This window comes from Homo sapiens, chromosome 8 (genome assembly GCF_000001405.40).
Source record: "Homo sapiens chromosome 8, GRCh38.p14 Primary Assembly".
Classification (NCBI taxonomy): Eukaryota; Metazoa; Chordata; class Mammalia; order Primates; family Hominidae; genus Homo; species Homo sapiens.
This window is the reverse complement of record NC_000008.11, coordinates 56,065,640-56,078,200: the sequence shown is the minus strand read 5'-3', so window position 1 is coordinate 56,078,200 and position 12,561 is coordinate 56,065,640. Positions and strand designations below refer to the sequence as shown.

Genomic DNA, 12,561 nt, shown 5'->3' with positions numbered 1-12,561 from the left:
TTATGTATTTTCTTCTTATTTTTGGCTTATTGTTGTTACTTTTTTCTCCAATGGATATCTCACATCTAGTATTCAAACATAACTTTTTTTTTTTTTTTGAGATGGAGTTTCGCTCTTGTTGCCCAGTCTGGAGTGCAATGGCACGATCTCGGCTCACTGCAACCTCTGCCTCCTGGGTTCAAGCGATTCTCCTGCCTCAGCCTCCCGAGTAGCTTAGATTACAGGAGCCCGCCACCACACCCGGCTAATTTTTGTATTTTAGTAGAGACAGGTTTTCAGCACGTTGGTCAGGCTGGTCTCGAACTCCGATGTCAGGTGATCCACCCACCTCGACCTCCCAAAGTACTGGGATTACAGGTGTGAGCCACCGCGTCTGGCCCAAACATAACATTTCAAAGAGAAATTGGGGGCCACAGAAGCTGCTAGTTTTCAAGAGAAAAATACGGCAAAGTGTTTGAAACTAAAACTAATAAACTTTAAAATTCCCAAACCTCACTAGATCCCACCTCCTGACTCTAGTAGTCTACTGTCTGCTTCTACAAATTTGACTTTTTTTGACTCCACATATAAGTGAACTCACACAGTATATTTATCTTTAGTAGAGACAGGGTTTCACCATGTTGGCCAGGCCGATCTCGAGCTTCTGACTCCAGGTGACCTACCCGCCTCAGCCTCCCAAAGGCTAGGATTACAGGTGTGAGCCACCATTCCCGGCCAGAATTTCCTTCTTTTTTAAGGCTGAATAATATTGATCCATTCAGGCTGGGCACGGTGGCTCACACCTGTAATCCTAGCACTTTGGAAGGCTGAGGTGGGCAGATAACCTGAGGTCAGGAGTTCAAGACCAGCCTGGCCAACATGGTGAAACCTCGTCTCTACCGAAAATACAAAAATTAGCCGGGCATGGTGGTGCCTGCCTGAACTTCCAGCTACTTGGGAGGCTGAGGCAGGAGGATTGCTTGAACCCAGGAGGTGGAGGTTGCAGTGTGCCGAGATCGCACCACTGCGCTCCAGCCTGAGCAACAGAGTAAGACTCTGTTTCCAAAGAAAAAAAAGATCCATTCATCTGTTGCTGGACACCTAGGTCATTTCCTGACCTTAGCTACTGTAAATAATGCTGCAATAAACATGGGAGTGCAGGTATCTCTTCTAGATACCAATTTCATTTTCTTTGGGTATATACCCAGAAGTGGGATGGCTGGTTCACATGGAAGTTCCATTTTTAATTTTTTGAGGACCCTCCATACTGTTTTCCAAAAAAAAAAAATTTCCATTACTTTTGTCTAATATTATCTTAACCATTTGTTTCCTTAGTTCTAGTCACATCAGCCATTTTTCACATACCTGCTGGGCCACATTTTGCTTTTCTCTATAAAGAAATTTCCTCGTTTACTATCAAAGTAGTTAACTTGTTCACCAGTTCCTCAAATACTTAAAGGATGAGGTAAGCCTAAGAAAAAGATGTACCAGATTTGTTATAAAAAAAAAATCACACTTGTACAAAATTACAATTGTACTTCTCAATGAAATTCCTTCATTGAATTTCCAGTCATCTTTGAGCATTAGTAAAACATGAATGCCGCTGTATATGTTCACTTAAAATATGCACAGTCACCTCCAGGCAGTACTACAGCGGTGGCTGATCACACCCCAGGGAGCAGGGCAATTGTGCTTTTGTCTATTTGTCGCACACAGCCATACCAATAAGTTAAACCTCTAAGTTATGAAGTCTCAGGTTACAGCTAGCACAATAAGAATGCAGGTTTTCAGAATTTCTGCTGAAAATTCTACTAAGAGAGTATTTACAGACAATGGATTACATTTAAAAATAACTGAACTGGGGCCGGGATAGGTGGCTCACACCTGTAATCCCAGCACTTTGGGAGGCCAAGGCAGGCAGATCGCGAGTTCAGGAGATTGAGACCATCCTGGCTAACACGGTGAAACACCGTCTCTAGTAAAAACACAAAAAATTAGCTGAGAGTGGTGCCACGTGCCTGTGGTCCCAGCTACTCGGGAGGCTGAGGCAGGAGAATTGCTTGAACCCAGGAGGTGGAGGTTGCGGGGAGCCAAAATCGTGCCACTGCATCCAGCCTCGGCGACAGAGCGAGACTCCATCTCAAAAAACAAACAAACAAAAAACCCAAAAAACTGAACTGGAAAACATCCAAATTTGAAAATTTAAAATAATTGTTAAAATGGCAGCAAAAAACCTCATACGTATCGTGAGCCAAAGAAACCCAGTTATTAGTTATGTTCCAATTATCACCAAATAAGACAATGCTATTATTTGATTAAAGTTTCAAACATAATTTCCTACCAAGGAACAGAAGACAAAACCTCAAGAAAGAGTCCTGACGGGGCGAGCGCGGTGGCTCACGCCTGTAATCCCAGCACTTTGGGAGGCCGAGGCGGGCCTGAGATCTGGAGTTTGAGACCAGCATGATCAACATGGAGAAACCCCGTCTCTACTAAAAAAAAAAAAAAAAAAAAAAAAATTAGCCGGGCATGGTGGCGCATGCCTGTAATCCCAGCTACTCCGGAGGCTGAGGCAGGAGAATCGCTTGAACCCAGGAGGCGGAGTTTGCGGTGAGCCGAGATCGCGCCATGGCACTCCAGCCTGGGCAACAAGAATGAAACTCCGTCTCACAAAAAAAAAAAAACAAAACAAACAAAAAAAAAAAACAACAAACAGGCCTGGACGGAGGGGTCAGAGCTCTGTCCCTCCCCATTTCAGAGTGTTTGAGCAAATAACTCTTTCGGCTCAGAGCTTCAGGTGGAAAGTAATATGAGATGATTTTACTCTTCTTTCTGCCCTGTATCAAAATCCATCTCAGTGATTTCCACGTATTTAGCCCCGGCTTCTTGCTCAGGTGTAGGTGAGCTCACCCTGCGCTCTCTCCCACTGCTCAGCTCAGTTGACCATTCGGGTTTTCCACTATACTTGGTCACTTATGTGATTATGAACAGATGTTCAGTATTAAGAAGACCCTGGGGGATCTTATCCAATGACTTTATCCAACAGAAAGGAGATGAGGTATCAGGACTGGGTGGCTAGCCAGGTTCCAGGCCGGGCCTCAGGATAGCTGCGCAGCCTGGCATTTTCGCCTCACTTTCCAGAAGGACGAGAAGCCAAGTTCAGGTCCTTTCCAGAAATAGATGTAGATACTTCTGCTGGACTGGGAAGCCAGGAGCTGAAATATCACAACAGGACGTTTCAGGCTATGAAAAATAACTGCTTACTAATTCTAACGTAAGTTATCCAGATTACGAGAAGCATTTCTGCCAATGCTCATGTCAGCTAAGCTCAGAGAAGTTACCTCATCCTCAGAGAGCAACGAATGGTATGGTCTATGTAGAAAGCAAAATTTGCAACGGAAAAACCAGAGTTCGTGTGCACTTTATGAGGAAGAGGGTTAGGTGCACCAGACAGAGGAGTTTCTCAGGTTTCCGTGTCGCCTGTTCTCTCGACCAGGTGGCCCTCTCGGCGCAGGCGGGGACCCCACCCTGCGGGACTTCGGCTCCTCCGTGCGGACAGGGGGCGCCCGCAGCCGTGCCTTTCCCGCCAACTCCACTAGTGCTCCAGCTCGCCCTTGTGCGACCGCCTCTAGGGCCCGGGATATTTCCTGTTCCGGGGCGTGTGGGACCCGGATGCAAGCGTGCTATATAAGCGTTGCTCAAGTCCCACCCCTTTCTTTTTGAGGAAGACGCGGTCGTAAGGGCTGAGGATTTTTGGTCCGCACGCTCCTGCTCCTGACTCACCGCTGTTCGCTCTCGCCGAGGAACAAGTCGGTCAGGAAGCCCGCGCGCAACAGCCATGGTGAGGCGGCAGTCGGCGGCGGGCGGCGCAACGCAGGGCTCGGGCGCCGGGGGGACCCCGGTTTCGAGTTCGTGCTCCTGAGGGCAGATGCCGGGGCGTGTAGGGGCGGAAAGGCGCTCCTGAAATGGTGGGGAAACGCGGGAAGCTTCCGGAAGCTGCCTTTCTCCAGAAGTGGCAGACCATTTTTGGCTTATTGTTCTTTTTCATGTATCTAATAATAGGCTTTTAAGGATACCGGAAAAACACCCGTGGAGCCGGAGGTGGCAATTCACCGAATTCGAATCACCCTAACAAGCCGCAACGTAAAATCCTTGGAAAAGGGTCAGTGCATTCGTTATGCGGGGGGGAGGGGGAATTGGGCGAAAAGCGACGAGCTTTACTCGTTAATGTTAGTGTAGAAGGTGGACTGCAAGAACTAAAGTGACAAGTTACTTAAAAAAGTAAAGCGTGGCTTAAAATTGCTTTTACTGTCATACAGCTGGCGATGAGGAGGTACCTATTGTGTTGAGTAACGGTGATAATTTTATACGCTATTCTGAGCCAGCAGAAGTGAAGGCCTTAAGCCGATTTTAATTGTTTCGATTATACTGAGAGGTCTTTTATTTCCTGTAGTGTGTGCTGACTTGATAAGAGGCGCAAAAGAAAAGAATCTCAAAGTGAAAGGACCAGTTCGAATGCCTACCAAGGTAAAGTAAATCGGAGGGGCAGGAAGTAGGAGTTGCTTCCGGATGTTGCATAAATTCAGGTTCTTTAAGGAGTTCGGCTGCCAAAATTGTTAACACTGATGCTGTCTACAAACGCACATAGAAATCGGTGGTAGATTGCGGTTCCTAGTAAGTAGCTAATGTTTAGATATGATTGTTGAATTATTGTTGCTGTGTTCTTGGTGTGCTTTGGTGCTTAACAGGCGCAAGCTCTAAGGGTGGTGTCCTAGCACAGTGAAAACAGACCTGGCATTTTCAACCCATGGTACCTGAAAATCTATTAGTGTAAATTGGAATCATACCAAAGGGAAACTAATGAAATGATTAGAAGTAATGATTTTCCAGATGTTCTAGGGATAAGTATAAAACGATAAACACTTGGTTTCCTTTGTCTTTTGTTACAGACTTTGAGAATCACTACAAGAAAAACTCCTTGTGGTGAAGGTTCTAAGACGTGGGATCGTTTCCAGATGAGAATTCACAAGCGACTCATTGACTTGCACAGTCCTTCTGAGATTGTTAAGCAGATTACTTCCATCAGTATTGAGCCAGGAGTTGAGGTGGAAGTCACCATTGCAGATGCTTAAGTCAACTATTTTAATAAATTGATGACCAGTTGTTAACTTCTGTTGGTTTTTATTCAGAATACTGGCAGATTTTAGGAATATAAAGGTGTACTATGAGACTTCCACTTTTCAGGTGGAATATATGGGTATCTTAGAGTGGTCTATCCTGTTTTCGTTGTCGTTTGAGTCATTTGAAAACTGGATTCCGTTAACTACATAATATGTGAGACCTGACTGGTTTTATTGGACACTGGCAGTTTATAACTTTGGCATACTCTAGATAAATTCTGATTGGTATGGGGTGTTAAGGTTTCTGGGGCGTTTGTAATGCACACCCATGGTTGAGAACCTAGTGCGCTAGTAGGCACGTGTTAAAAAGCTAGTAACTAATATTTTTAAATTAACCAAGTTTAACGTCCTTAAAAAAGGATTAAGTGGCAGAGGCAGGACTAAAACTAAGTTTTAGGGTTTTAGGAACTAAAACTTAGTTTAAAAATACTTATATTTTCAGTGTTTTATATTTTAAATATAAAATTTTCACTTTTTTTTTTTGGGGGGGGGGACGGCGTTTTGCTCTGTGGCCCAGGCTGGAGTGCAGTGGTGTGTTCTTGGCTCACTGCAACCTCTGCCTCCCAGGTTCAAGCAATTCTCCTGCCTCAGCCTCCCAAGTAGTTGGGATTACAAGTGCCTGCGACCAAGCCTGGTTAATTTTTTATTTTATAGTAGAGATGGGGTTTTGTCCTGTTGTTCAGGCTGGTCTCAAACTCCTGACCTCAGGTGATCCACCTGCCTCAGCCTCCCAAAGTGCTGGGATTACAGGCATGAGCCACCATGCCTGGCCCATTTTCACTTTTACATTTTTTAAAAATACTTATATTTTCAGTGTTTTAGACAGGGTCTCTGCAGTCCAGGCTGGAGTGCAGTGGTGTGATCACTGCAGCCTTGACCTGGGCTCATGCAATCCACCTCAAACTGCCTAGTAGCTGGGACTTAACAAGCATGTGGCTACCATGCCCAGCTAATTGTTTTTTGTAGAGGTGAGGTTTTGCCATGTTGCCCAGGCTGGTCTGGAACTCTGAAGACTCAAACCATCAGCCTGTGTTAGCCTACTAAACTGCTGGTGTTACAGGAGTGAGCCACTGTACCCAGCCTAGAATTTAAAATCAGATAGATACCCTTACAGGTTTGCTAAACTTATTGGGGAAAGTTTCTATAGATTTATTGTGGAAAAATGGAACATCTACAAATTGTTAAGATTGCCTTCAGAAAATTTTTGAAATTTTTAATAGGATCAAAGTTGGGTAATTCAAGTTTTTTCTTTTTGGATTTGGGCCTAGGCTTTCACGCTGAACTCTGCTATCTTTTCAAATTGACCTTCAGTTGAGATTTCTGTATACAACCAACTGCATGCTAGGCACCTGCAACCCACAGCTGAAAAGCTAATGTGTCTAAAATGAAATCTTCCCTCCCAGAAGCTCTGTCCTGTGTTCCTAGTCTGAATCCATTGTCTACTGAAGTCTCACAGTTCAAACTGGAGTCACCCCTTGCCCCTCCCCTACTGCTGTTACCCAACATCCAATTCCTTCTGAGTCTACTTCAGATCTCAAGACAAACCCAGTTAACATCAAGGATTTGAATGGAACTGAGTCTGGAATGAATTATGCCACATTGCTAAATTTAAACCAAACAGTTGATCTTTGGGAGCTGTTTAGCTATCAGTTAATAAGACCATTTTAAAATGGAATACCTATCAATACGTGGCCCCCAGACAAATACCTATGAACTTTTAGTGCAGCATAGCAGTCTTTAGAGCACACATGTCTTGAGAACTGACTGAGGAAATGAAATTCTGAAAAAAATGTCACTAAAGTCCAGAGAACATATACTGTGAAAAATACACTTCAGTAAATCAGAAAATAGTGGAAGGACAGCTTCATGGCTTTCACGGAATTGTGAACATGAGCAGTTGTGTTTTTTCACAATGGTTAAAGTGTTGGATTAAAGCTATACGTAATTGAGAACCTGTATTACAGCTAAAATAGCACTAAAAAATTTGAAACTGCTGTTATCTTCAATTTCTCAAACACTTAAAAATACCTGCATGGAAATAAAACTGCAGGGCCTTTGAATATAGGGAATTCAGGATAGATTAAATAGTGGTAATGATGCCAATAATTCTATGCAAGTTAACAGGCCATCTTGTATGGATGGGAGTTAAAGGAAGGTTGAAAATAGGATATCTCTGCAGTGCTTACTCTATTTGGATTTGCAGAGCACTGCTTCTGGTGTAGAAATGTAAGCTAGCAATAACCAAGGGAACAGAAACCACCATGGCTGTTCATTGCTGGGTCAGAATTTTTTTTTTTTTTTTTTGAATTTAAATGGAAACAGTCTCGCTGTGTCACCCAGGTTGGAGTGCAGTCGTGCGAACATGGCTCGCTGCAGCCTTCAACTCCCTGGCTGAACCGATCCTCCTGCCTCAACCTCAAGTAGCTGGGACTACAGGCTCACACCTTGACGCTTGGCCTGGCTTTTTTTGTGGAGATGGGGTCTTGCCATGTTGCCCAGGCTGGTCTCAAACTCCTATGCTCAGGCGATCCACCCTCCTCGGCCTCCCATAGTGCTAGGGTTATAGGCAAGAGCCACTATACCCAGACTGGATTAGATTTCTTCACATGACATCCGTAGAGTGCCTGTGTGTATGCTCTGTGGATGTAAAATGAACAGGCAAGAGTACAGAAGTAGAATCTCTAGCCATGCAGTCAGACAGATGGCTCCAAAATTAGTTACTTGGTTATGGAGACGATCAAGTTACTTGACTTTGAGCCTCAGTTATGTGCCAAATGAGGATACTAATAGTATCTATCTCAAATGCATATATGGGTGTTCACTGTCTCTGGGAGACATTTTCCAAAGAAACCAAGACTAACTTGTTAAGGGAATAGATTTCTCTCACTGATACAGGATGTGCTCTAGCTGGCCCACGATACTGCATTGAATTACAGTGTTTCCTAAGTATCTGTGGGGGATCAGTTCAGTACCTCTCTTGAATACCAAAATTGAGGAAGTTCAAGTCCCTGATATAAAATGGCATAGTATTTGCATATAATCTATGGCATCCTGTATAATTTGTCATCTCTAGATTACTTGTAATACCTAATACAATGTAAATGGTATGTAAGTAGTTATGCTGTATTCAGGGAATAATGACAAGAAAAAGAATGTCTATACATGTGCAGTAGAGACAATTTTTTTTCTGAATACTTTTGATCTACAGTTGATCGAATCTACAGATGCAGAACCCATGGATACAGAGGGCCAGCAGTACACTTTGAGAAGTGTATTCGAATCCCCGGGGACATGTCCTTTTTAACTGCATTCTCCTCCGCCAAAAAAGTGACCAAGCAGGTATAAGTGGAGAAACAGCCAAAGCTGAAGTGTATTCTTTTTTGTTTAATTGTACTTCAGTGGATGCAAATGAAATTTTATCTTTTGAAAGTAAGAGGAACTATGGCTGGGCGGGGTGGCTCACACCTGTAATCTCAGCACTTTGGGAGGCCAAGGTGGGCGGATCACCTGAGGTCAGGAGTTCAAGACCAGCCTGGCCAACACAGTGAAACCCTGCCTCTACTAAAAATACAAAAATTAGCCAGGTGTGGTGGCACGCTCCTGTAATCCCAGCTACTTGGGATGCTGAAGCAGGAGAATCTCTTGAACCTGGGAGGCAGAGGTTGCAGGGAGTTGAGATTGTCGAGTATAGTGGATTGAGTGCTGTGGAGCCGAGATTGCCAAGTGCAGTGGATCGAGTCCACTGCACTCCAGTCTGGGCAATAGAGCTAAACTCAGTCTCAAAAAAAATAATAAAGGAAAAAGTAAGTCAGAGGCGCAAAATCAATCCTTATTTCCTTTAACCTAGGAATAATAGCATATTTCACTTTCATAGAAATTGAACTCTTAGAGAACCAGATCCTTCTATACCTTTTGTTCTGTAAACTGCTATTTATTTACTTATTTTTGCCTCACATATTGTGCATATCCTTCTTCATTAACTTAAAAAGAACTCACCCCATGGATCATCTGAGGTCAGGAGTTCGAGACCAGCCTGACCAACATGGTGAAACCCTGTCTCTGCTAAAAATGCAAAATTAGCTGGGCGTGGCAGTGCGTGCCTGTGGTCCCAGCCACTTGGGAGGCTGAGGCATGAGAATTACTTGAACCCGGGAGGCAAGGGTTTCCAGCCTGGGCGACAGACTGAGACTCTGTCTCAAAAAAAAAAAAAAAAAAAAAAAAAAAAAAAAAAAAAGATATTTTCACCAAGAGAATATGGAAATTTTTAATTTTAAGAAACACTGTCAAATTGATGCTTTCAAGCAACTGTGCACATTTGTATTCCTCCCAGGAGTCAGTACAATATCATATATCTGGTATACAAAAAAAATCGCTCATTATTTTAGCCCTACCCTCCATTTGTCTCTCTTCTTTCTGGGACTCCTATTGATTGCATGACCTTCTGAAGGTCTTGTGTGTGTCTTACCTTTTTTTCATAACTTCTCTTAATTTTTTTTTTTTTTTTTTTTTAGAGTCTTTCTCTGTCACCCAGGCTGGAGTGCAATGGCGTGATCTCAGCTCACTGCAACCTCTGCCTCCTGGGTTCAAGTGATTCTCGTGTCTCAGCCTCCTGAGTAGCTGAGACTACAGGTGTGCACCAGTGTTCCCAGCTGATTTTTGTATTTTATGTAGAGATGGGGTTATGCCATTTTGGCCAGGCTAGTCTCGAACTCCTGAGCTCAGGTGATACACACACCTCAGCAAATCTTTTAAATTATACATTCTGTGATATTTCCTTGACTTTCTTATCCAGCACTTGTATTGATTATTTTTCATTTTGATAATGTTGGGTTTTTAAAAACTCCTTTATGATGGAAAATTTCAAACATACACAAAAGTAGAGAGAGAATGGTATAATAAACCCACTCAGTTTTAAGGATTGTCAACTAATACCAGTTTTATTTCATGTATGACTCCAACAACTTCCCCAACCAGCCTTCAGATTATTTGAAAGCAAATTTCAGACATCGTATTTTACTCATACATTTTCTAGTATCTAAATCTGAAAGAGACTCTTTTCTAACAGTTCTGTAGCATTAATTATACTCATACTGTTGTGCAACAAATATCCAGAAATCTTTTGTCTTGCGAAACTGAACCTCTTACCCATTAAACACTAACTCCCTTTTTTTTCACCCTGAACCATTGGCAACCACAATTTTACTTTCTTTTTCTGTGAGTTTGATTACTTGATACTTCATGTGAGTGGAATCATATAATATTTGTCTTTTTGTGACTGACATTTTATTTAGCTTAATGTCTTCAAGTTTGACCCATACCATATCATGTGGCAGGATTTTTCCCTTTTTTTTTTTTTCAGACGGAGTCTCGCTCTGTCGCCCAGGCTGGAGTGCAGTGGCGCGATCTCGGCTCACTGCAAGCTCCGCCTCCCGGGTTCATGCCATTCTCCTGCCTCAGCCTCCTGAGTAGCTGGGACTACAGGCGCCCACCACTAAACCCGGCTAATTTTTTTGTATTTTTAGTAGAGACAGAGTTTCACCATGTTAATGAGGATGGTCTCCATCTCCTGACCTCGTGATTCGCTCGTCTCGGCCTCCCAAAGTGCTGGGATTACAGGCGTGAGCCACCGCGCCCGGCCATGATTTTTCTTCTTTTTTAAGGCTGAATAATATCTCAATGTATGTATATATACCACTTTTTAAAAATTCATTCATCTGTTGGACATTTAGATTGTTCCCACCTCTTGGCTATTGTGAATAATGCTATAATAAACATGAGTATGCAAATATGTCTTTGAGATTTTGCCTTGAATTATTTTGGATATATACCAAGTGAGATTGCTGGATCATATGGTATTTCTATTTTAAATTGTTTAAGGAATCTCGATACTGTTGCACCATTTTGCATTCCCATCAGGGGATCCAGTTTCTCCAAATCCTCACCAACACTTCATTTTTTTTTTATGGTAACCATCCTAATGGGTGTGAAGTGATATCTCATTGTGGTTTTGATTTGTACTTCTGTAATGATTAATGAAGTTGAACATTTTTTTATATGCTTGTTGGCCATTTCTTTCTTTTTTTTTTCTTTTTTTTTTTTTTTTTTTTTTTGAGACAGAATCTTACTCTGTCACCCAGGCTGGAATGCAGTGGCACGATGTTGGCTGACTGCAACCTCTGCCTCCCGAGTTCAAGCAATTCTCCTGCCTCATCCTCCCACGTAGCTGGGATTACAGGCGCATGCCACCACGCCCAGCTAATTTTTGTATTTTTAGTAGAGACAGGATTTCACCATGTTGCCCAGGCTGGTCTTGAATTCCTGACCTCATGATCTGCCTACCTTGGCCTCCCAAAGTGCTAGGATTAAAGGCGTGAGCCACCGCTTTTGGCCAGCTTATTGGTCATTTCTATACCTTCTTTATAGAACTGCCTATTCAAGTCCTTTGCTCTTTTTTTTTTTTTCCTTTTTTTTGAGACGGAGTTTCGTTCTTGTTGCTAAGGCTGGAGTGCCATGGCGTGATCTCTGCTCACTGCAACCTCCACCTCCCGTGTTCAAGCGATTCTCCTGCCTCAGCCTCCCGAATAGCTAGGATTACAGGCATGCACCACAACACCCAGCTAATTTTTTGTATTTTTGGTAGAGACAGGGTTTCACCATGTTGGCCAGGCTGGTCTCAAACTCCTGACCTTAGGTGATCCACCCACCTTGGCCTCCCAAAGTGCTGAGATTACAGGCGTGAGCCACTGCGCCTGGCTGTTTGCCCATTTTTTTGAAGTGAGTTATTTTTGTTTTTGTGAGTTGTATGAGTTATTTATGTTTTCTGGATATTAACCCCTTATTAGGTAGATGATTTGCAAGTATTTTCGTTCATTTTGTAGGTTGCCTTTTCACTCTCTCAGCTATGTACTTTCATGGACAAAAGCTTTAAAGTGTGATGTAATGTAATCACATCAAACTTTGAAATCTTTGATTTCATTGCCTATGTTTTTGGCATCATATCTAACAAATCATTGCCAAATCCCATGTCATAAAGCCTTTCCTCTATGTTTTCTTCTAGAAGTTTGATAGTTTTAGGTCTTACAGTTCAGTTTTTAATCCATTTTGAGTTTATTTTTGTATATTGTGTAAGGTAAGCATAATTTTTGTGTATCATGTAAGGGTTCCACTTTATGGCTTTTGCCTGTAGATATCCAGTTTTCCCAACACTATTTGTTGAAGAGACTGTTCTTTCTCCATTCAGTGGACTTGGAACCCCTGCTAAAGACAATTTTACCACATACACAATAATTTATTCCTGGACTCTCTATCTTATTCCATTGGCCTGTTTGTTGTTATGCTCATGCTACCTACCAGAGCTTTAATTATTGTGACTTTATAATATGTTTTGAAATCAGAAGTGTGA

General features: G+C 42.6%; 1 protein-coding gene, 1 long non-coding RNA gene and 1 other non-coding gene across 4 annotated transcripts; 2 read left to right on the top strand and 1 right to left on the bottom strand.

The window, feature by feature from the left end:
* CERNA3 (competing endogenous lncRNA 3 for miR-645) lies at positions 2,927 to 3,609 on the bottom strand. Its single transcript, NR_149110.1, has 2 exons — positions 3,321 to 3,609; positions 2,927 to 3,194 (listed from the first exon to the last, which is right to left on the bottom strand). It is a non-coding gene; the product is annotated as a competing endogenous lncRNA 3 for miR-645 (long non-coding RNA).
* On the top strand, positions 3,695 to 10,947 carry RPS20 (ribosomal protein S20). Of its 2 annotated transcripts, NM_001146227.3 has the most exons (6): positions 3,695 to 3,820; positions 4,042 to 4,141; positions 4,433 to 4,506; positions 4,929 to 5,084; positions 8,368 to 8,498; positions 9,671 to 10,947. In NM_001146227.3, exons 1-5 carry the CDS (start codon positions 3,818 to 3,820, stop codon positions 8,461 to 8,463), a joined length of 429 nt encoding a protein of 142 aa, NP_001139699.1. In that variant the 5' UTR covers positions 3,695 to 3,817; the 3' UTR covers positions 8,464 to 8,498; positions 9,671 to 10,947. The 2 variants fall into 2 exon arrangements, with proteins under 2 accessions (NP_001139699.1, NP_001014.1); NM_001023.4 differs by lacking the exons at positions 8,368 to 8,498; positions 9,671 to 10,947 and having other exon boundaries at positions 4,929 to 5,147.
* Positions 4,300 to 4,362, top strand: SNORD54 (small nucleolar RNA, C/D box 54). Its single transcript, NR_002437.1, has one exon. It is a non-coding gene; the product is annotated as a small nucleolar RNA, C/D box 54 (small nucleolar RNA).

What these genes read in the sequence shown, in the direction of transcription:
- RPS20 (NM_001146227.3), top strand. An exon ending in CAGTTCGAATGCCTACCAAG is followed by an intron (nt 4,507 to 4,928) that starts GTAAAGTAAATC and finishes CTTTTGTTACAG; the next exon opens with ACTTTGAGAATCACTACAAG. An exon ending in GTATTGAGCCAGGAGTTGAG is followed by an intron (nt 5,085 to 8,367) that starts GTGGAAGTCACC and finishes TTTGATCTACAG; the next exon opens with TTGATCGAATCTACAGATGC.